The 20,646-nt window shown below is 51.3% G+C and overlaps 3 protein-coding genes across 15 annotated transcripts in view, besides 3 other annotated features; 1 reads left to right on the top strand and 2 right to left on the bottom strand.

The window, feature by feature from the left end:
• Positions 1 to 7,328, bottom strand: part of EIF3I (eukaryotic translation initiation factor 3 subunit I) — a 13,764-nt gene extending 6,436 nt beyond the window's left edge. For 2 of the 3 annotated variants that reach the window (NM_001394168.1, NM_003757.4), the window contains exons 1-9: positions 7,291 to 7,328; positions 7,105 to 7,197; positions 5,614 to 5,701; positions 5,260 to 5,325; positions 3,415 to 3,564; positions 3,205 to 3,332; positions 1,126 to 1,236; positions 919 to 1,008; positions 527 to 600 (exon numbers count right to left, since the gene is read on the bottom strand). In NM_001394168.1, the coding sequence (NP_001381097.1) occupies positions 527 to 600; positions 919 to 1,008; positions 1,126 to 1,236; positions 3,205 to 3,332; positions 3,415 to 3,564; positions 5,260 to 5,325; positions 5,614 to 5,701; positions 7,105 to 7,197; positions 7,291 to 7,293 (803 nt within the window). In that variant the 5' untranslated portion in view covers positions 7,294 to 7,328. Of the gene's footprint in view, positions 1 to 526; positions 601 to 918; positions 1,009 to 1,125; positions 1,237 to 3,204; positions 3,333 to 3,414; positions 3,565 to 5,259; positions 5,326 to 5,613; positions 5,702 to 7,104; positions 7,198 to 7,290 lie in introns of those variants that run through there. The other variant, XM_024450518.2, reaches the window with a different exon arrangement.
• Positions 6,910 to 8,109: an enhancer, noted in NCBI's record as "BRD4-independent group 4 enhancer chr1:32687227-32688426 (GRCh37/hg19 assembly coordinates)". NCBI's record gives its function as "activates an origin of replication core promoter dependent on BRD2, P300/CBP, MED14 and CDK7 cofactors, and independent of BRD4, by STARR-seq in HCT116 cells {active_cell/tissue: HCT116}" and the evidence as "EXISTENCE:reporter gene assay evidence [ECO:0000049][PMID:35650434]".
• Positions 7,000 to 7,633: an enhancer, noted in NCBI's record as "H3K27ac hESC enhancer chr1:32687703-32688336 (GRCh37/hg19 assembly coordinates)". NCBI's record gives its function as "activates a minimal SCP1, AML or CMV promoter by ChIP-STARR-seq in naive and primed H9 embryonic stem cells {active_cell/tissue: H9 hESC(naive and primed)}" and the evidence as "EXISTENCE:reporter gene assay evidence [ECO:0000049][PMID:30033119]".
• TMEM234 (transmembrane protein 234) lies at positions 7,382 to 15,258 on the top strand. Of its 11 annotated transcripts, NR_133636.2 has the most exons (11): positions 7,382 to 7,428; positions 7,717 to 7,868; positions 8,538 to 8,604; positions 12,158 to 12,298; positions 12,384 to 12,476; positions 12,788 to 12,846; positions 13,218 to 13,351; positions 13,454 to 13,541; positions 13,940 to 14,062; positions 14,519 to 14,599; positions 14,686 to 15,258. NR_133636.2 is itself a non-coding variant. In XM_017001816.2 (9 exons), exons 1-7 carry the CDS (start codon positions 7,413 to 7,415, stop codon positions 14,193 to 14,195), a joined length of 519 nt encoding a protein of 172 aa, XP_016857305.1. In that variant the 5' UTR covers positions 7,382 to 7,412; the 3' UTR covers positions 14,196 to 14,266; positions 14,519 to 14,599; positions 14,686 to 15,258. The 11 variants fall into 11 exon arrangements, 8 of the variants coding, with proteins under 8 accessions (XP_016857305.1, XP_047281435.1, XP_047281439.1 ...); NR_133635.2 differs by lacking the exon at positions 12,158 to 12,298; XM_017001816.2 differs by lacking the exons at positions 12,158 to 12,298; positions 13,218 to 13,351; positions 13,454 to 13,541 and adding an exon at positions 14,187 to 14,266.
• Positions 12,791 to 13,990: an enhancer, noted in NCBI's record as "CDK7 strongly-dependent group 2 enhancer chr1:32681346-32682545 (GRCh37/hg19 assembly coordinates)". NCBI's record gives its function as "activates an origin of replication core promoter dependent on BRD2, BRD4, P300/CBP, MED14 and CDK7 cofactors, with strong dependence on CDK7, by STARR-seq in HCT116 cells {active_cell/tissue: HCT116}" and the evidence as "EXISTENCE:reporter gene assay evidence [ECO:0000049][PMID:35650434]".
• Positions 13,543 to 20,646, bottom strand: DCDC2B (doublecortin domain containing 2B). The gene is made up of 9 exons (NM_001099434.2): positions 20,376 to 20,646; positions 18,412 to 18,463; positions 17,898 to 17,974; positions 17,534 to 17,665; positions 17,099 to 17,245; positions 16,942 to 16,981; positions 14,803 to 14,938; positions 14,192 to 14,295; positions 13,543 to 13,933 (listed from the first exon to the last, which is right to left on the bottom strand). Exons 1-9 carry the CDS (start codon positions 20,639 to 20,641, stop codon positions 13,838 to 13,840), a joined length of 1,050 nt encoding a protein of 349 aa, NP_001092904.1. The 5' UTR covers positions 20,642 to 20,646; the 3' UTR covers positions 13,543 to 13,837.

The following is a 20,646-nucleotide window of genomic DNA, read 5'->3' as shown; positions in this document are numbered from 1 at the left end:
TACTAAAAATACAAAAATTAGCCAGGCGTGGTCATGGGTGCCTGTAATCCCAGCCACCCAGGAGGCAGAGGCAGGATAATTGCTTGAACCCGGGAAGCAGAGGTTGCAGTGAGCAGAGATCGCGCCATTGCACTCCAGCCTGGGTGACAGAGCAAGACTCCGTGTCAAAAAAAAAAAAAAAAAAAAAGGCTGGGCACGGTGGCTCATGCCTGTAATCCCAGCACTTTGGGAGGCTGAGGCGGGCGTATCACGAGGTCAGGAGATCGAGACCATCCTTGCTAACACGGTGAAACCCCGTCTCTACTAAAAATACAAAAAGAAAATTAGCCAGGCATGGTGGTGGGCGCCTGGGCCGCTGAGGCAGGAGAATGGCGTCAACCCGGGAGGCAGAGCTTGCAGTGAGCAGAGATCACGCCACTGCGCTCCAGCCTAGGCGACAGAGCGAGACTCCATCTCAAAAACAAAAACAAACAAAAAAGGTACACCACATGAGATTTTAATTTGGAAGAGCTCTCTTCTTCTTTACCTGGCCTCAAACTTGCCAATCCTGGTGGAGGTTGTGGTTACATCCATGGCTTCCTGACCACCGCCCAGGACCACCTGAATGGAAGAAGAAACTCTAGATGGGACCAATGGACACCAAGTCCATTTTGTGTTTTTCTGCTGCCATATACATTTTTAACATCTCACACGGCTCAATGGGAGGATACCAAAGGTAGGGGATGATCAGACACTTCTGCCACCTCCTGCTGGCTGCCCTGGGGCTATTCAATCCTTCCAGCTTTGTCACTCCTCTGGGCATCTCCTCTCTGCCTGACATCATTTCCCCCACAATGTTGTAGCCCAACTTCTGGACAAGCATCTAGAACTTGGAAGCTTCCTGAGGCTTCAGCAGGAAGGCAGGTGGGGTTCTCTTACATGGTCATAGTTGGGGGAGAGGGCAGCTGAGTTGACAGGACGTTCTGTCCGGAAAGTCTTCTGATGTTCAAGAGTTGTGGAGTCAAAAAGCTGGAGAGAGAAGGCAGGGGGGAAATCTGTAAAGAGCTTTCCTGGGGGAAGTCGGGCAGGGTGAGCTGTGCAGCCGGAGGGAGGGAGCAGCCCTGCCAGACCGCTGCCCAGGCTCACCTTGGCTGTGTTGTCCTTGGACGCGGTCACAAACATGGTCATGTCCCTGGATAACTGGATGTCGTTGATCTGCCGGGAGTGCTCCTTAACATTCACCAACACCTCTCCAGACTAGGGAAGGAAGAAGAGTGACACTGAATGGGCCCAATCCCTACTAATCTCAGCTCCCCAGAAACCCAAGCACCCAAATGAAAGCTGAGACAGCATGGACTTTGTGTTTTCCTCACCCCCTCTATCCTATCAGTCACCCCTAAATATCCCTTGACTCTGTCCAGTAATGTACATCCTATGCCTATTGGCTAGTTCAGGTTCACTCTCCAAACATAAACTGCAAAAGCTGTTGGAAGGAAAATCTGGCCATTGATAACCCTTTAAAGATTCCCTACTGCCTGGAGGAAAGTCAAAACTCTTTACCTCCTCACACTGAAGGACGTTTAAAATCTATTCCCCGTCCTCTGTCCCCAAGACCACACCCCAAGGGTTTCTGAAGACTCCATACTTTCTTAACTCTGTGCCTTTGCCTTTGCTGTTCCTTTTGCCTGTGGGATGTTCTTTCCTTCCTGCTTGAAGCTCCATTTATTCTCCAGGGTTTAATGTACACGCCACCTCCCTGGGAGAGTGCACCTTCCACACTTGGCTGAGACCTCTATGGTGGCACAATTCACAATCTGACTCAGGTGCTAGCTGTTTGCAAGTCTGTCTCCCCATGGGGGAAGGGACTGCATCTGATTTACTTCTTTGTTCTAGGAGTTCAGCATTATACTCAGCATTATACAGGGCATTATACTCAGTGGTGGCAAGGAAATGCTCATTTGTGATCCTTAATTATTTTTTTGAGACAGGGTCTTGTTCTATCACCCAGGCTGGAGTACAGTGGCACAATCATGGCTCACTGCAGCCTCAATCTCCCAGACTCAAGCAATCTTTCAGCCTCAACATCCTGAGTACCTGGGACCAAAGGCACACTCCACCACACCCAGCTAATTTTTAATTTTTTTTTGTAGAGACAGGGTCTTCCTATATTGCCCAGGCTGATCTCAATCTCCGGGTCTCAAGCAATCCTGCCACAGCCTCCCAAAGTGTTGGGATTACAAGTGTGAGTCACCACACCCGGCCTGTGATCCTTATTAACATGTCCTGAGTACTTTGTGACAAGTTTTTCAAACATGTGATATCATTTGATCCTTGAAACATTTTACAGATAAACAGGGTCAGAGAAGTCATGTAAATTGCCCAAGATCACACAGCTAGAAAGTGGTGAAATCTACATTTGAATCTCACCTCTGCTCTTTTTAAAATTTTTTATTAACTTTTTTTTTTTTTTTTTTTTTTTTAGAGACAGGGTCTCACTGTCACCCAGGCTGGAGTGCAGTGGTGCAATCATAGCTCACTGCAGCCCCAACCCCTGGGCTCAAGAGATCCTCCTGCCTTGGCCCCCAAAGGCACTGGGATTACAGATGTGAGCCACAGCATACAGCCCTGCCCTTGTTCTGAACTAGTGTGCTATCACCAGGACCCGAGGCAGGTGGATCATCTGAGGTCAGGAGGTCAGGATTCAAGACCAGCCTGGCCAACATGGAGAAACCCCATCTCTACTAAAAATACAAAAATTACCCAGGCATGGTGGCAGGTGCCTATAGTCCCAGCTACTCAAGAGGCTGAGGCAGGAGAATGGCTTGAACCCAGGAGGTGGAGGTTGCAGTGAGCCGAGATCGTACCACTGCACTCCAGCCTGGGTGACAGGGTGATACTCTGTCTCAAAAAAAAAAAAAAAAAAAAAAAAAAGCCACGAGCGGTGGACTGCCTGAGGTCAGGAGTTCGTGACCAGACTGACCAACATGGTGAAACCCTGTCTCTACTAAAAATACAAAAAAAATTAGCCAGGTGCGGTGGCATGCACCTGTAATCCCAGCTACTCGGGAGGCTAAGGCAGGGGAATTGCTTGAACCAGGGAGGTGGAGGTCGCAGTGAGCCGAGATGGCGCCACTGCACTCCAGCCTGGGCAACAGAGAGAGACTCTATCTTAAAAAAAAAAAAAAAAATTATTCTGGTAGGCTCAGGCCCCATGTGGCCTCTTACCTTGGCACTATACTGGTTGAGCTCTCCACTCTCATGGCCAGCGATGATGCACTCCCCCAGGGGTCCCCAAACAGCACTGGTGATTTTAGAGTCATTGCAAGGGATCTTCATGTAGGGCTCATTGTTGTCTGTGTGGGGCAGTAGATGTTAGGCCCTGGGCTCTAGAACTGTACCCTTTACCTCAACCCCAGCCCTATTCCCAGCCCTCACCAATCTGGCTCGGATCCCGCAGGTCAAAAAAGCTCACAAAGCACTGGTAGCCCATCTGCTTGTCCGTGGAGAACATGATGATGTTGCCCCCAAAGTCAAAACCGCAGGTCCGGACAGCCGAATTGGTCTTGAGAAGGGCCAGCTGCTTTCCTGGAGTCAGGCAAAGTCTGGGCTACACCATCCATTGCAATTGCAGGGAGGACATTCTAGAGAATGCTACCATCACATCTCACTGTTTGTCTTGCTCCAGTGACCCAAACTTAAAAAGTATTTTAACTTTTCTTTTTTTTTTTCTTTTTTGAGACAGTTTCACTCTGTTGCCCAGGCTGGAGTGCAGTGGTGCAATCTCGGCTCTCACTGCAAGCTCCGCCTCCCGGGTTCACGCCATTCTCCTGCCTCAGCCTCCCAAGTAGCTGGGACTACAGGCGCCTGCCACCATGCCCCGCTAATTTTTTGTATTTTTAGTAGAGACGGGATTTCACCGTGTTAGCCAGGATGGTCTTGATCTCCTGACCCGTGATCCGCCCGCCTCAGCCTCCCAAAGTGCTGGGATTACAGGTGTGAGCCACCGCGCCCGGCCTTTTTTTTTTTGAGATGGAGTTTCGCTCTTGTCCTGCAGGCTGCTGTGCGATGGTGTGATCTCGGCTCACTGCAACCTTTCAAGCGATTCTTCTGCCTCAGCCTCCTGAGTCGATGGGATTACAGGTGCCCACCACCATGCCTGGCTCATTTTTGTATTTTTAATAGACGGGGTTTCACCATGTTGGCCAGGCTGGTCTTGCACTCCTGACCTCAGGTGATCCACCTGCCTCAACCTCCCAAAGTGCTGGGATTACAGGCGTGAGCCACCACACCTGGCCAAGTATTTTAACTTCTTACCTAGACTCTTTCCTCAGACATCCTGCTAATGTGGCACTACTCATACGTAGACTGCAATATATCTGTCTCTCCCTCAGACTGTGCTTCTCCACAGCAAAGACCTGATCTGATTTCCCTCCATGTCCCCAGTACCCAGCATAGACCTGGCACTAAACAGAACAGCTTAGGCTGGGCACAGTGGCTTGTGCCTGTAATCTCAGCACTTTGGGAGGCCAAGGCGGGTGGATCACTTGAGCTGAGGAGTTCGAGACCAGCCTGGCCAACATGGTGAAACCCTGTCTCTACTAAAAATACAAAAATTAGCTGGTGGCCAGGTGCAGTGGCTCATGCCTGTAATCCCAGCACTTTGGAAGGCCGAGGTGGGTGGATTACCTGAGGTCTGGAGTTTGAGACCAGTCTGGCCAACATGGTGAAACCCTGTCTCTACTAAAAATACAAAAATTAGCCAGGTGTGATGGCGCATGTCTGTAATCCCAGCTATTTGGGAGGCTGAGGCAGGAGAATCACTTGAACCTGGGAGGCGGAGGTTGCAGTAAGCCAAGATTGTGCCACTGCACTCCAGCCTGGGTGACACAGCGAGAGAATCTGTCTCAAAAAAAAAAATCAGCCAAGCATGGTGGCGTGCGCCTATAATCCCAGCTACTGGGGCTGGCTGAGACAGGAGAATCCCTTGAACCCGGGAGACAGAGGTTGCAGTGAGCCGAGATAGTGCCATTGCTCTCCAGCCTGGGTGACAGTGAGACTCTGTCTCCAAAATAAGAAAAAGAAAAAAAAAAAAAAAAAGAAAACTTAATCTATGCTTCCTCTACCATGGCGTGTATTTTCTCATCTATCTTTCTTGTCTCTTATTCCCTAGACTGGAAACTATCTATGGATTTCATCTCTATTTTCCTAGGACCTGTTTACTCAAACAGGTACACTGTAGGTCCTCAATATTTGCTAAAAAGGTGAATGAACCCAGCTTACCTGTTTCACAGTCCCAGAGACGACAGCTGTTGTCAGCTGAGCCAGTGAGGACATGCTTGGTGTCCCCTGAAGAGTTGTTAAGAAATATGACGAAGTTCACCCGAGCCCTTGTCCTCTTGGGATGCCAAGTGAATCATCTCCCTGTTCAGCCCCAAAGAGCCTTTCTACCCCTCTTACCTCCTTATCCAGAACTGGAATTTGTCCTGAATGTTTCCTCAGTCAGTGAAGAGACCAGGGAGTAGGAGGTATCGTTCTCTAGGCCCTCAACAGCACCCCCAACTCCCAACTCCCAACTCAGCCTCTCCATCGCTGACAGACCCTAGCAACACGGACTCAGACCCAAAATAAGGATACAGTCAGCGTCCACACACCACACAGCTCCGGTATGGCCCATGTAGGTGCCCAGCCTCTCACCATTCACAGAGTACCATACATTGACGATCTGGAAAAGTCAAACCACAGGATAGTACACATCCCAGTAAGAGCAATGGCTTCCTATTTTGCCCCAGGAACCCTCAGCAGCCTGTAGCAAGGCTGATTCTGCCCTCTTCTGTTTATTTCTTGGGAAACAGCAGGGAGCTGGTAAAAAGACCAACTCCTGGATTCTCCTCCCTTCCTGAAGGGAAGCAACAGAGGAGTCAGGCGGCTTGTAAAGGCATCCTCATTTGTTAGCTCCAGCTCTCCTGGGACTCCCAACGGCTCCAAAGAATAAAAGGCCAAGTTGAGCTCCAGTCCAGAAAAACAGTATCTCTGATGTCTTATCCAAGTGGGAGCAGCTGGTAGTAAGGAAGTCTGGGTTCTGGTGCCTGCTCTGCCACTGTCTCACTATATGATCTCAAATACAGTGCTTCTCTCCTCTGAACTTCAGTTTTCTCATCTTGAAAATGGCCAGGCCGGGTGTGGTGACTCATGCCTGTAATCCTAGCACTTTGGGAGGCCGAGGCAGGCGGATCACCTGAGGTCAGGAGTTCAAGACAAGCCTGTCCAACATGGTGAAACCCCATCTCTACTAAAGATACAAAAAATTAGCTGGGCATGGTGGCACGAGCCTGTAGTCCCAGCTACTAGGGAGGTTGAGGCAGGAGAATCGCTTGAACCTGGGAGGCAGAGGTTGCAGTGAGTCGAGATCGCGCCACTGCACTCCAGCCTAGGCGACAGAGCGAGACTCCGTCTCAAGAAAAAATAAAATAAAATGGCCAGGTGCCTCAAAAGGCAGTATCATGAGGGATTGTTTGGCATTGAGTAGCAGGATGGGATTGACTTAAAATGAGACTAGAGACACCCTCATTAAGTTCCCTGTGTCTGAATAACACAGCCTGCACCTATCCTGGTAGAAAGATTAGATTATCCCTAAAGGTCGCATCCCGTTCTCTGGGCAAGCTGACCCTCATCTTTATCCCCTTTCCACAGTGGTCTCTTGCTTTTCTTGGAGTGCAGTGGCACGATCTCAGCTCACCGCGCTCAAGCGATCCTCTCGTTTCAGACTCCGAAGTAGCTGAGACCACAGGCGCGAGGCCACCATGTCAGGCTAATTTTTTTGTGTGTAGAGATGGGTCTTACTACGTTGCTCAGGCTGGTCTCCAACTCCTGGGCTCAAGCGACCCTCCCACCTCGGCCTCTCAAAGTGCTGGGATTACAGGCGTGAGCCACCGCACTCGGCCAATAGAGTTCTTCCCCACCTTTCCCGGTAGAATACTTTCGCCAACCTACCCCCGGCATGGCCTCTCCCTACTTCTCACAATGGGCTGCTCTTTGGTTCCCCGCTAACGGCAAAACTGGCGTGTCCACCCATCGTCCTGGCAGAAGGATCCCGCCCCTCCCGGACCCCCTCCAGCCAACACTCACAGGGTCCTTGGCCACAGTAAAGAGGAGGTCTCCTTCGCGGTTATACTTAATCTGCGTAATGGACCGCTCATGGCCCTGCAGTAGGATCGGCTTCTGTGGGGACAAGACAGTAACGTCAGTGCTCGGAATTGGGCCCCAGCCTCAGCCCAGGACCCCCACTGCAATACCCCTAACTCTGAAACTCACCATCCCGGCTGTGACGCGAGGAAGGCCGCAACGTGAGTAAGACCGGAAAAGGTTTCGAGGTCACTTCCGGATTATGGGTCTCCGCCCCTTCGTTCCCGGAAGTAGAAGACAGCGGCGTTGCCATGGCGGCGTCTCTGGGTAGGTAGCCGGCCCCGCCCTTCCATGGATTTCCCGACCCTCGCCTCGAATTCATTTCCTGCTCCACATCCACCCTCTAACCCCGACCCCTGCTACAACCCCAGAGGCCGGACTCCTGGATTCATCTCCCTAGCTTCCCTGGGCCTGCCTTAGCCGCCAGTCGCAGCCGAGGCGAAGAGAGCGAAGGAGGGAAGTGGGGGCGGCTAGCTGGGGCTAGAAGGCCAGGAGAGGGCGGGGTGGGCGGCCGTTTGGGGTGGGGGTCAGGGTGACTCACTCGTCTGCATTCAGGGCAGGTGTTGGCTCTGGTGCTGGTGGCCGCTCTGTGGGGTGGCACGCAGCCGCTGCTGAAGCGGGCCTCCGCCGGCCTGCAGCGGGTTCATGAGCCGACCTGGGCCCAGCAGTTGCTACAGGAGATGAAGACCCTCTTCTTGAATACTGAGGTGCGTCTCTGTGAAAGGCCCCTCTCTCGGTGGAGTTGCCGCCAAGAATTTGGTCTTTGGAGTCAAACAGGTCTGGGTCAGCCCCACCACTTACTCACTAGAAATTCTCGGAAAAGTCAGTTGTCCTTGAGCCTCAGTTTCATCATCTGTAAATGGCGATTATAATAATAACCATCTGATAGGTCAGTTGCAGGAATTAGGTGAGATACGTAGAGCACTTAGCATTAGGCCTAGAACATAGTAAGTGCTCAATCTATGGCTGCCATTATTCACATTTTATTGTGATTCCTTCAGTTACATAAGGCAACATTTGTGAGCCTTTCCAGAGGGAGGGCTTGGGGCTCAAATTGGCCCTGCAGGGGAGGAGTTCAGAGGAGGAAGGCTGGAGCTGGAGGACTTGGGGAAGGCTTCCTGGAGGGGCTGACATTGGCTTCAAGGCCTTGCAGGATGGGAACTAGCAGAGGTGAGGGAGAGGGTAGTTTGAGCAAAGGCACAGACTTCAGTCTGTTTCCCTCTTTGCCCTGGAAGGATCCTCCTTAGAGGGATTAGTGTTCTCTGGGTCCTTATAACCCTGCCTCCCTCCAAGGAAAGACATTCGCTAGGAGCTCAAAGAAGGCAGTGCTGCTCAGTCAGGCCATCACACTGACTGCAGGTTTCTCCTCTTTCCAGTACCTGATGCCCTTTCTCCTCAACCAGTGTGGATCCCTTCTCTATTACCTCACCTTGGCATCGACAGGTGGGTCCTGGCTTGGAACTGTTCTGCTTAGTGTTTGAGGCCACCTGGAAGAGTGATTGGGGGGGGCGGGGTGGAGCTTGAAACACCTCATTCCCATCAGTGAGAGAGGGCTGACTAGCTCTAGTTCCCTCTTACTATCCTCTTCTCTGAACAAGAGGGGCACAGTGTGCTGGTTATGAGTATGTTGCTAGGCACTGGAGTTGGTTTGAAGCCTGGCAGTCATGTGTGACCAGCGGAGGAAGAAGGAAGGTTCATTTTGCTGTGCCAAGTGCTGGCTTTCACATTCTTGCTTCCACTGTGTGCTACCTACCTGACCATGAGCAAGTCACCCATTTGAGCCTTGGTTTTATATAGTTGGCTTCATAGCATTGTGAGGATTAAATTTAATGAATGGGAAACATCTAGGAGAGTGCCTGGCACACAGTCAGAGCTCCATATACATAAATTTCCTTTCTCTTGACATTTGTGACTGCCCTCTACTACGTCAGATACTGCACTAGTCTTACACATTATTTAATTCCAATCATGACTCTGTAAAGCAGATATGATTATCTTAGAAAATGAAGTTGCAAAACTTTGTGCAATTTCACCTCTCAAGTCCCACAGGATGTCAGTGCAGAAGGATTTGAAGCCATATATTAAAAGTTTATGCTCGACTGGGCATGGTGACTCACGCCTGTAATCCCAGCACTTTGGGAGGCCAAGGAGGGCAGATCATTTGAGGTCAGGAGTTCGAGACCAGTCTGGCCAACATGCTGAAACCCCGTCTCTACTAAAAATAACAAAATTAGTTGGGTGTGGTGGTGTGTGCCTGTAGTCCCAGCTACTTGGGAGGCTGAGGCGCGAGAATGGCTTGAACCTGGGAGGCGGAGGTTGCAGTGAGCTGAGATCATGCCACTGCACTCCAGTCCCTGGGCAACAGAGCGAGACTCTGTCTCAAAAACAGAAAGAAAGAAATAATATGCACTTATTTAAAGAGTTTGAAAACCTCTGGCCTCATGCATTCACTGCTGTGGAAGAATGCTGAACCCTTGACCAGCTGACTACAGGTAGCCATTCACCAAGTTTTAATCAAATTGCAGTTTTAGGTTCTTTTTATCTCATTACCCTTTCTGCCTGTATCCTTTAATATCCATCCTTTCTAATAACCAGAACAGTAATAACTATTTATGAAGCATCCACTTCAGCCAGGGACTATCCATGCATTATCACAGTTCATCTTACGACAACCCAACAAAAGAAATGGTATACTGTGACCCCTATTTTACATGCGGGGAAACAGGTTGAGTGTTTGAATATCCTAACCAAGATTGCAAGGGAAACTCAGATCTGCCTCACTCCAATGCCCTCACTTTCCACTGCACCGTGCTGCATCCTTCTTCCATCTACTGTTGCAAACCAGACCTTAGCAGCCATGACACTCCTTGTAAGGTATGTAAACTTAAGAAGGCAGCTCTGGGCAGGGCACAGTGGCTCAGGCCTATAATTCCAGCACTTTTGGAGGCTGAGGTGGGCAGATAACCTGAGCCTAGAGATCACCCTAGGCAACAACAACAACAAAAATACGAAAATTAACTGGGCTTGGTGGTGTGTGCCTGTAGTCCTAGCTGCTCAGGAGGCTGAGGTGGGAGGATCGCTTGAGCTCAGGAGGTTGAGGCTGCAGTGAGCCTTGACCTCACCACTGCACTCCAGCCTGAGCAACAGAGAGAGACCCTGTCTCAAAACAACAACAACAAAAACGAAAAACAACCAAAAAAGAAAGCAGCTCTTTGTAAGTGGGGTTGTATCAATTTCTTAGATGGGTAATGCCTCCATGCTGGGGCCTCCCAGGGGATGAGGAGCAGGACAGTTTGCTCCTTTGCCTCACACAGGCGAGCCCTGGGAGTGCTGGGAAAGAATTTGCTGAGGAGCCAGTGTGAACATCTGGTCTGCAGTTGAGTCTTGTTACCATGGATAACTCAGCTGATTCGTCCATTGGTCTTTTTTATGTGTATGTGGTGCTTTTTTTTTTTTTTTTTGAGACGGCATTTCGCTCTTGTTGCCCAAGCTGGAGTGCAATGGTGCGATCTTGGCTCACTGCAACCTCCGCCTCCCAGGTTCAAGTGACTCTCCTTCCTTAGCCTCCCCACTAGCTGGGATTATGGGCATGTGCCACCACGCCTGGCTAATTTTGTTCTTTTGTTTTTGTTTTTTGAGATGGAGCCTTGCTGTGTCACCCAGGCTGGAGTGCAGTGGTGCAATCTCTGGTCACTGCAACCTCTGCCTACCAGGTTCAAGCAATTCTCCTGCCTCGGCCTCCCAAGTAGCTGGGACTACAGGCATGCACCACCATGCCTGGCTAATTTTTGTATTTTTAGTAGAGACGGGGTTTCACAATGTTGGCCAGGCTGGTCTTGAACTCCTGACCTCAAATGATCCACCCGCCTCGGCCTCCCAAAGTGCTGGGATTACAGGCGTGAGCCACCACACCCAGCCTAATTTTGTATTTTCAGTAGAGACGGGGTTTCTCCATGTTGGTCACGCTGGTCTCTAACTCCCAACCTCAGGTGATCCGCCCGTCTCAGCCTTCCAAAATGTTGGGATTACAGGCATGAGCCACTGCGCCTGGCTGTGGCTCTTTTTTTGATGTGATAAGAACACTTAACAGGAGATCTACCCTCAACAAATTTTAAGTTAACTCCATTAGTCTTTTTCTTTTTTTTTTGAGACAGAGTTTCACTCTTGTTTCTCAGGCTGGAGTACAGTGGTGTGATCTTGGCTCAGTGCAACCTCTGCCTCCTGGGTTCAAGCGATTCTCCTGTCTCAGCCTCCTGAGTAGCTGGGATTACAGGCGTCCGCCACTATGCCTGGCTAATTTTTGGTATTTTTAGTAGAGACGGGGTTTCACCATGTTGGCCAAGCTGGTCTTGAACTCCTGACCTCAGGTGATCCGCCCGCCTCAGCCTCCCAAAGTGCTGGGATTACAGGCGTGAGCCACCCTGCACCCAGCCAACTCCATTACTCTTTTTCAAGTTTGCTTATTGGCAGTCAGCCCCTTGGAACTTCAAAATTAAGGAACAGATCCTGGGCTATGATGCCCTCTACCCACACCACAGGTCCAGCCCAATGTCCTGAACAGGTCCTGCTCCTTCCTTCTGACACTTTTTATTTTTAACTCCATAAGGCCTGAGCTTGGGCTGAAACAGAAACAAAATGTGCTTCATCTGATGTTCTGCTCTGTCTATATCCACAGTTTAATAACGGCGCAGGCTTTGGAGTCAGGCAAGCCTTGGTTTAAATCCTCAACTTGCCTTAGTTTATGTGACTTCTTTGAGCCTTTGTTTCTTTTACGCAAAATGGTGATAATCCCCTTCTTGCAGTGTTGTGAAAACTGAGATATGTACACAAAGCACCTAGGCCATGGTATGTGCTTAATAAATGGTGGCTGTGCTTGGTGTTACCTGACTCTCTACTCATCCTTTGGGATTTGGGTGCCTGCCTGTCCGTCCAGATGTCCTTGAGATCTCACGAGTTCTCTTTGAGTGCAAAGACCTCATTCTCATTATCAAACCAGGCTGGTCCCAGACCTCAGAGTTCAGGTCTTCATGCTGGAATCCTGGGAAGCACTGAACGTGGAGTCAGGAGATGTGGGTTTGAGTCCTGAGATTTGCTGTGACTTCATCTGGAAGATGGGGTTTTGATACCTTTTTTAAAGGTATGAAATGATGATGATGGAAGTGTTTTGTGCCTAGAAAGGCATTTGTTGCATCTCAGGCATTCTTTTCATTCTGACCACCCAGATCTGACCCTGGCTGTGCCCATCTGTAACTCTCTGGCTATCATCTTCACACTGATTGTTGGGAAGGCCCTTGGAGAAGATATTGGTGGAAAACGTAAGTTAGACTACTGCGAGTGCGGGACGCAGCTCTGTGGATCTCGACATACCTGTGTTAGTTCCTTCCCAGAACCCATCTCCCCAGAGTGGGTGAGGACACGGCCTTTTCCCATCCTGCCCTTTCCTCTGCAGCTGTTTTGCTTCCTTGTGGCCATCAGAGTTCCCTTCCCCTGGACAGTCTGGAGAAAGACAGAGGCTGGGGTTTGGGATTGAAGACCAGACCCCATCTGAGCCCTTCCTCCAGCCCTGTACCAGCTCCTACTGGCATGGCTGAGCTCAGACCCTCCTGATTTCTGCCTATTATCCCAGGAGCAGTTGCTGGCATGGTGCTCACCGTGATAGGAATTTCACTCTGCATCACAAGCTCAGTGAGTAAGACCCAGGGGCAACAGTCTACCCTTTGAGTGGGCCGAACCCACTTCCAGCTCTGCTGCCTCCAGGAAGCCCCTGGGCCATGAAGTGCTGGCAGTGAGCGGATGGACCTAGCACTTCCCCTCTCTGGCCTTAGCTTCCTCCTCTCTTATGGGGATAACAGCTACCTCATGGATCACAATAAGAGAACAAGAGTGAAAGAGTTTTGTAACCTTCAAGTGCTGTTCAGCTGCGGGGATTTAGCACAGGAGACTCTACGCTCACCCTCAGCAACCTTTCTGCCCCAGCAGCTCTCTTCCTGCTAACATCTCAGGCTCCCAGCCCAGCCACCATTACTGTGGCCTGATCTGGACTATCATGGTGGCAGGTTCCATGGACTGCAGAACTCCAGCTGCATGGAAAGGGCCAGCTGCAGACTTTGAGCCAGAAATGCAAACGGGAGGCCTCTGGGACTCAGTCAGAGCGCTTTGGCTGAATGAGGGGTGGAACCGAGGGAAGAAGGTGCGTCGGAGTGGCAGATGCAGGAAATGAGCTGTCTATTAGCCTTGCCTGCCCCACCCATGAGGTAGGCAGAAATCCTCACTGCCAGCCCCTCTTAAACAGGTAGAGAGCTGTGAGCCCCAGCCCCACCTGACTCCAGCACACCTGGCGAGTAGTAGCTGTCAATAAATCTATGGTAAACAGACAAGAGGTTAGTAAGTATTCTTTTATTGTGACAAACCCTCTCCCAGGCTTAGTCAGCTACTCCTTTCTCTGGCCAGAGAATCCCATAAGGAAATAGCCCCCACAGCCAGGGCTGCTCTGCTCAGAGGAAGGGAAGGCTGGGCTGTGGGTTTAGGAGCAGGAGAACGGGGAGGGCTGAGGAGGCCGCAGTGTACCCTGTGAGCCCAGCGGAGGTGCTGGCTCCTGAGGAACAAGCTGCTGGAGGCTAAGGACAAAAGGTGGCCAGAGTAGTGGTCCCCAGTTGCCCTCTGGAGCTGCTGGCTCTCAAGATGGCAGAGCTGGGGCTGAGGCTGAGATAGCAGCCCCAGCCCCAGGCTGGTTTTCCAGGGACAAGGCCTCTTCCACTATCTGTGCTGCCCTCTGCAGGAGGTGGAAGGCCATACAGAATGGAGCCGTGAGTATGGCCAGCCTCCAGCTCTCAGCCAGGAGGTCCCCAACCCCAAGGAAGGAAGAAACTGGAAATTAGGAACTGCTTCCTCATTTAACAAGGTAGGAAGTTAGGAGATCATTTACTTTCAATCACAAGGGAGGAGAACTGTTCCTGGGGCCCAAGGCTGCCAGTTTCCAGCTCAGAGCTCCTCCCACCCCAACATACTGTTTCCTGATCCAACAGCTTACCTGATCCAAGGGCTCCTCTGTCTGAGTGTCTTCATCATCTGCTACTTCCAGGGCCCCCGCTGTCTCCTTCCTTCGGTGGGGAGCTCCATATACTCCTATAACTCCTAAAGAGGGGAGGCAGCACTGGGTGATGCCCAGGCTGAAGAGCCCTCAGCATTCCTGCCCTGGACCTTCATGCTAGCCCCTTTCCCTCCCCTGAACCTGGTTCTGCATTCCCCACCACCTCCCAGGATGGCAAGGAAGTGAGAGGTGGGCCTTTGGTCCCACCCCCATCCCCTCTATATCCCACCCCTGAAGTCTTATCGCTTTAAGCACTGCCCTTTCCAGGTGCTTCTTTTCATGTGATGAGGCCCTGTGAAGAAGGGACAGGATATACAGACGGGGGCAGCTGGAGACAGTTATGATGAGGTCAGTACCAGCTTTTTTTTTTTTTACGGGCAGTCTCCTGAGCCACAGTAGGTTCAGACTCCTTTATCTTTTTTTTTTTTTTCCAGTGCCGGCTTTGTGTCTGAGCATTCTGCTCCCATGGACATCCCCAACAACAGCAGGGACCAACCTATGTCACTGTCAAAGGGCAGCTGAGAAGGGCCTGAGCCCCAGGGACCCCTCACCTGATGGGAATGAGAGTGTGGGGAGCTTGCTTCTTGGCTGAATGGTCTGCTGGGGTCTGGCATAGAAAGCAGATGGCTTAATTCGGTCTGGTTCCTTTGGAGAGGGCTGGGTTACCTGGGCCCTGTGGCCTTGGGCCTAGAGAAGGGACACTGGGCTTGGACCCTGATTGCTGGCCATTCTTACCTTTCCTACTCCCCAGTTCAGGCTTCAGAGAGCCCCTGACGCCTGCAGGAACATGGCAGAGGAGACACCGTCTGTCTTCACAAAGTACGTCCTCCCTCCTTGCTGCCTCTTCCCACCAGCCTGACTTATCCAGGGACAGAGCAGTAGATGCCTGGCACTCCTCGATGCCCAGTGAAACCAGACTGTGCTTCCCCACCCCCACCACCATGCCCCATGCTCACTGGCTCATTTCTTGGGAGGGCTTAGAGCTGGATAATATAAGTTCCCTTGGACCCTGCTGTGCCAAATATACCAATTCTCTCTCCCAGCGTCCAACCTAGCAAGAAGGTATTAAGTCCTGCAAATCAGATGAGAATTCTGGTCTGGCCCCTGCCACTCAATAACTCTGTCACCCTGAACAAATCACTTCACTTTTTTTTTTTTTTTTTTTTTTTTTGAGACTTGAGTCTTACTCTCTCACCCAGGCTGGAGTGCAGTGGTGTGATCTCAGCTCACCACAACCTCCGCCTCCCAGGTTCAAGTGATTCTCCTGCCTCAGCCTCCCAAGTAGCTGGGACTACAAGCACCCACCACCATGCCCAGCTAATTTTTTTGTACTTTTAGTAGAGATGGGGTTTTACCATGTTGGCCAGGCTGGTCTTGAACTCCTGACCTCAGGTAATTCACTCTCCTCAGCCTCCCAAAGTGCTGGGATTACACGTGTGAGCCATCGTGCCCAAGGCCCACTTCACTTTTCAGCTTCAGTTTCCACCTCTGGAAAATGGGGATAATCTTTCTTTCACAAGATTATTAAGAGTGGCCAGGCGAGGTGGCTCACGACTGTAATCCCAGCACTTTGGGAGGCTGAGGTGGGCAGATCACCTGAGGGAGTTTGAGACCAGCCTGACCAACATGGAGAAACCCTGTCTCTACTAAAAATTAAAAAAATTAGCCGGGTGTGGCTGAGCGCGGTGGCTCACGCCTGTAATCCCAGCACTTTGGGAGGCTGAGGTGGGCTGATCACGAGGTCAGGAGATCGAGACCATCCTGGCTAACACGGTGAAACCCCGTCTCTACTAAAAATACAAAAAAAATTAACCGGGCATGGTGGTGGGTGCCTGTAGTCCCAGCTGCTCGGGAGGCTGAGGCAGGAGAATGGCATGAACCCGGGAGGCGGAGCTGGCAGTGAGCCAAGATTGCGCCACTGCATTCCAGCCTGGGCAACAGAGCGAGACTCCATCTCAAAAAAAAAAAAAAAAAAAAAAATTAGCCGGGTGTGGTGGCACATACCTGTAATCCCAGCTACTCGGGAGGCTGAGGCAGGAGAATCACTTGAACCCAGAAGGTGGAGGTTGCAGTGAGCTGAGATTGTGCTATTGCACTCCAGCCTGAGCAACAAGAGTGAAACTCCGTCTCAAAAAAAAAAAAAAAAATTATTAAGAGGATGCAGGCTGGGCATAGTGTAATCACAGCACTTTGGGAGGCCAAGGTGGGAGGATTGCTTGAGCCCAGGAGTTCAAGACCAGCCTTCGCAATATCGTGAGACTCATCTCTATATTTAAAAGAAAAAAGGAGGCCGGGCACGGTGGCTCACGCCTGTAATCCCAGCACTTTGGGAGGCTGAGGCGGGCAGATCACAAGGTCAGGAGTTCAAGACCAGCCTGGCCAACATGGTGAAACCCCATCTCTACTAAAAATATACAAAATTAGCTGGATATGGTGGAGCGTGCCCATAATCCCAGCTACTCAGGAGGCTGAGGCAGGAGAATTGCTTGAACCGGGACCTGGGAGGCGGAGGTTGCAGTGAGCCAAGATCCTGCCACTGCACTCCAGCCTGGACTACAGAGCAAGACTCTGTCTCAAAGAAAAAGAAAAAAGAGAGGATGCAGTGAAATAAGGTCAGAGCCTGTGCCAGAAGAGTTGTCAGCCAGTCACTCCCCTTCTTCCCACCCCTCATTGTCCCCTGCGTCACCTACCCCCTGCCTGTGGGGCCTAGACTTCGAGCCTGGAGGTTGCCTACAATGACAAAAGGAAAGGCTTGTAGTGGGCAGAGGGCATAGAGTCAAAGCACACAGACCCAGAGGGTGGCTTCCTCTGCCCGGCCTGTTACCGCTCCACCTCCCACATACATACCAGCAGCCCCTGGGCAGGGAGGGGCTGGGCACCAGCAGCTCCAGATAGGGAAGGTCCTTGAACTCATCCTCTCCGACAGCCACATAGTAATGGCCAGTTACCAGCTCCTTCCCTGCTGACAGTGGGAGCCCCTCTAGGGTGCAGAGTCTGGGAGAGAGAGGTGAGGAGGATAAGGGCTGGTAGACTCGATGCTTCTTCACATTCAGCAGACTGAAGGGGTGGGTGCAGCTATTCCAAGGTGCCCTCTGGCCTCTAGGCACCCAGGCTCTACCCTGCCTCTGAGGGCTGGGCAGAGGGCCCTCTCCCAGTGGCATAGGGGGAAGTCCCATGTGGGGGAACATGCTTTCCTTTTGCCTCTTCATCCTCAGCCACAGCTGAAGCCAGTGGCGAGGCTCTCTTTGGGGACTTTTGGGCCCTCGCAGTCCCCATACTCACTTGCACACAGCCCCACTCTGCAACTTGACCTTCTCAGTCAGGAGCTTCAACACAGTTTCCCAGTCCTGGCTGGCAGCCTGGGACAGCTTCAGACTAAATGGGGGACTTACCAGGTCCCCATTCCTGAACACACTGAGACAAAAAGCCTGGTAAGGGGGAGTGTCCCCAGGAGTCCCTACATGTGAGGGGAAGGGTGGCACAGGGCCAGCAATAACCATAACACTGGTCTCTCTTCACCCATCAAGCATGCTGGACTTCTACATTCCCAACAGTAACCAGAGGCTCCTAGAACAAACCCAACACCATTTTCTTGGCCTTACTAAAACAAACATCAACACCCCTGCTCCCTCACACTGGCACTCACTGGATATAGCTGGGAGCACCTGCAGGCAGCTGCCGTCCAATGGCCCCATCACACAAGTGGCGAGTCACGGGAGGACCCTGAAACCCATGTCAGGCCTCCAAATCAGGAGAGTTGGGGCCTTTGGTTAGGGGTGGGCCCATCCAAGGTGTGGAGTGAGGGGGCCGGAACCAGACTGGGGCAGGAAGGGGGCGAGGAGGAGTAAGACAGTTTACACCTTTCACCAAACGGTGCTTAGATGTTCCCTAAGTCACATTCTAACCACCCCCTCCCCCAATCTGTGTTTCACATCTTTCTCTTTCCTTTGGGGACCCCAGTGTGGAGTTAAAGGCTGCGACAGAAGCAAGAAATAGTGTCTTGAAATCCCACGCCCCAGGAAAGATAGTAGCTGGCTCCAAAGTACCCCCCTGGAACTGGCAGATCCTGCTGCTTCCCTGGCTTCCCAGACCAAATTGGGGGCAGTTCCAGGAGGAGTGGGAAGACAGAGGGGCTGGGGCACAGGTTCCCCGGGACTCACTTGTAGTCTGCAGCTCTTCCCACCTGGGTCCTTCCCTCTATGGGGTAAATAGCTGAAAGGACAGATAGATCACAGGTCATCTTGTGGAGACTGAGGCCTCAATAGCCTGGCAGATGTCAGTGTTGGGTTGGGGCGCAGCTCACCAGATATCCCTCCCCATGGAATAGTGGCAATCATCTCAGTCCAGAAACAAGATATTGGCAGCTGAACCTGCCCTAGGACCCCTTGAGTGCTCAAGTGCTGTCTGGGTAAGTGCTGAGTAAGTCTGGAAATCCAGACTGGGGTCTCAGTACTAACCATGAGATTAAAGGTCAAGAAGGCTGGGCATGGCAGCTCACGCCTGTAATCCCAGCTCTTTGGGAGGCTGAGGCAGGAGGATCACTTGAGCCCAGGAGTTTGAGACCAGCCTGGGCAACCTCATTGCTACCAAAAAACAAAAAAATTAGCCAGGCATGGTGGCATGCACCTGTGGCCCCAGCTACTTGGGAGGCTGAGGCAGGAGGATTGCGTGAGCTCAGGAGTTCGAGGCTGCAGTGAGCCATGATCGCGCCAGTGCACTGCACTCCGGCCTGGGTGACAGAGCAAGACCCTGTCTCAAAAAAAAAAAAAGTCAAGAGAAACTAGAAACTAGTGCATTATGCATCCTGCTGTATCCCAAGAATATTCTCATTCATGAGATAGGTCGTTTTATCTCCATTTTGTATGAGATTCCAAGAAATTAAGTGACTTGCCCAAAGTCACACAAGGAATGAAGCCTAGATTCTAAGTCTACCTAGCTTCCCTCCTCTGGCCTTTTTTTTCTTTTTTTCTCTTTTTTTTTCTTTTTGAGACAGAGTCTCACTCTGTCCCCCAGGCTGGAGTGCAGTTGTGCGATCTCAGCTCACTGCAACCTCCGCCTCACGGGTTCAAGCGATTCTTCTGCCTCAGCCTCCTGAGTAGCTGTGATTATAGGCACGTGCTACCAGGCCTGGCTGATTTTTTTTTTTTTTTTTTTTTTTAGATGGAGTTTCACTCTTATTGCCCAGGCTGGAGTGCAGTGGCACGATCTCGGCTCACTGCAACCTCTGCCTCCAGGTTCAAGCGATTCTCCTGCCTCAGCCACCCGAGCAGCTGGGATTACAGACATGCGCCACTACGCTCAGCTAATGTTGTAGTTTTAGTAGAGATGGGGTTTCTCCATGTTGGTCAGGCTGGTCTTGAGCTCCTGACCTCAGGTGATCTGCCCGCCTTGGCCTTCCAAAGTGCCGGGATTACAGGTGTGAGCCATCGTGCCTGGCCAATTTTTGTATTTTTAGTAGAGACAGAGTTTCGCCATGTTGGCCAGGCTGGTCTCGAACACCTGACCTCAGGTGATCCACCCGCCTTGGCCTCCCAAAGTGTTAGGATTACAGGCGTGAACCACCGTGCCCAGCCACTTACTCCCTCTTGATCCTTACATTATAGTAAGCAACCTCAGCTGAGAGCTAAGAGTAGGACCTGGAAGCCAGACATGAGTCAGAGACTCAGGTACTCAAATTCTTCTCCCACCCTGGGAGACAGTCTCCTCCTGCAACAGAGGATGGCCCTAGCCTAACGGGAGAGTCTGGGATGCCTATGCACAGTGGGGAGGAATGGATGGGTGGATTTAGAGTGTTCAGTGATAGGGGGTCCAAGCAAGAAGAGCTTTTGGAAAAAGGGGCTCACCCTGTGGGAGAGTGGTCTTCCCACAGGCTGATCTTGGCTGTGATGGGCATAAACATTAGTAACACACAGAATTCTATTTGAATTTCAGTTCAACTATTTGTTATGTACTTTTAGGCAGGTTTTCTGTCTGTTTTCCCTTTCTAATGGAGGCAAAACCACCCCCCCTACATAGAGTTCAGTAAGTACCAGTAACATGCTGGTACATACATGGTAGGTACTGAATACACGCTCTTGCCGTTACCTCCCTTGCTAGGCTGTTTGACCAGCCCCAGCCCACTCACTGGAGCTTGTGGAATCGTTCAAATCCAGCGGCCACATACTGCCCTCTGTTCTTCAAGTCTGCCAGGTTGGTGACAGGGTGGCCATGACAAGGTGTGTAGAGGGCACGCACAGCCAGTGGGGCCTGCACAGCTGATGTCACCTCGCAGAGGAAGGCCTCCATGGTGGGGAAGCGGCGTTGAGTCACCACCAGCTGGGAGCCTGGGAAGAATGGGTCCCCATTCCGGTACACCACTACCCTCTTGGCTGCTGGACTGCCACCTGCCATAGTGT

Source organism: Homo sapiens, chromosome 1 (assembly GCF_000001405.40).
Source record: "Homo sapiens chromosome 1, GRCh38.p14 Primary Assembly".
In the NCBI taxonomy this organism is placed as follows: Eukaryota; Metazoa; Chordata; class Mammalia; order Primates; family Hominidae; genus Homo; species Homo sapiens.
This window is presented reverse-complemented; position numbering and strand designations above follow the sequence as displayed.

Bases quoted from the DNA above. Each gene is read 5' to 3' on its own strand.
- TMEM234 (XM_017001816.2), top strand. The intron at 7,869-8,537 runs GTGCGTCTCTGT...TCCTCTTTCCAG, and splicing joins CCCTCTTCTTGAATACTGAG to TACCTGATGCCCTTTCTCCT. The intron at 12,847-13,939 runs GTGAGTAAGACC...TGCCCTCTGCAG, and splicing joins CACTCTGCATCACAAGCTCA to GAGGTGGAAGGCCATACAGA.
- DCDC2B (NM_001099434.2), bottom strand. From the start codon at position 20,641: ATGGCAGGTGGCAGTCCAGCAGCCAAGAGGGTAGTGGTGTACCGGAAT. The intron at 16,982-17,098 runs GTATGTATGTGG...TTGTCATTGTAG, and splicing joins TCCCTGCCCAGGGGCTGCTG to GCAACCTCCAGGCTCGAAGT. The intron at 14,296-14,802 runs GTGAGGGGTCCC...TCCCCTCTTTAG, and splicing joins CACACTCTCATTCCCATCAG to GAGTTATAGGAGTATATGGA.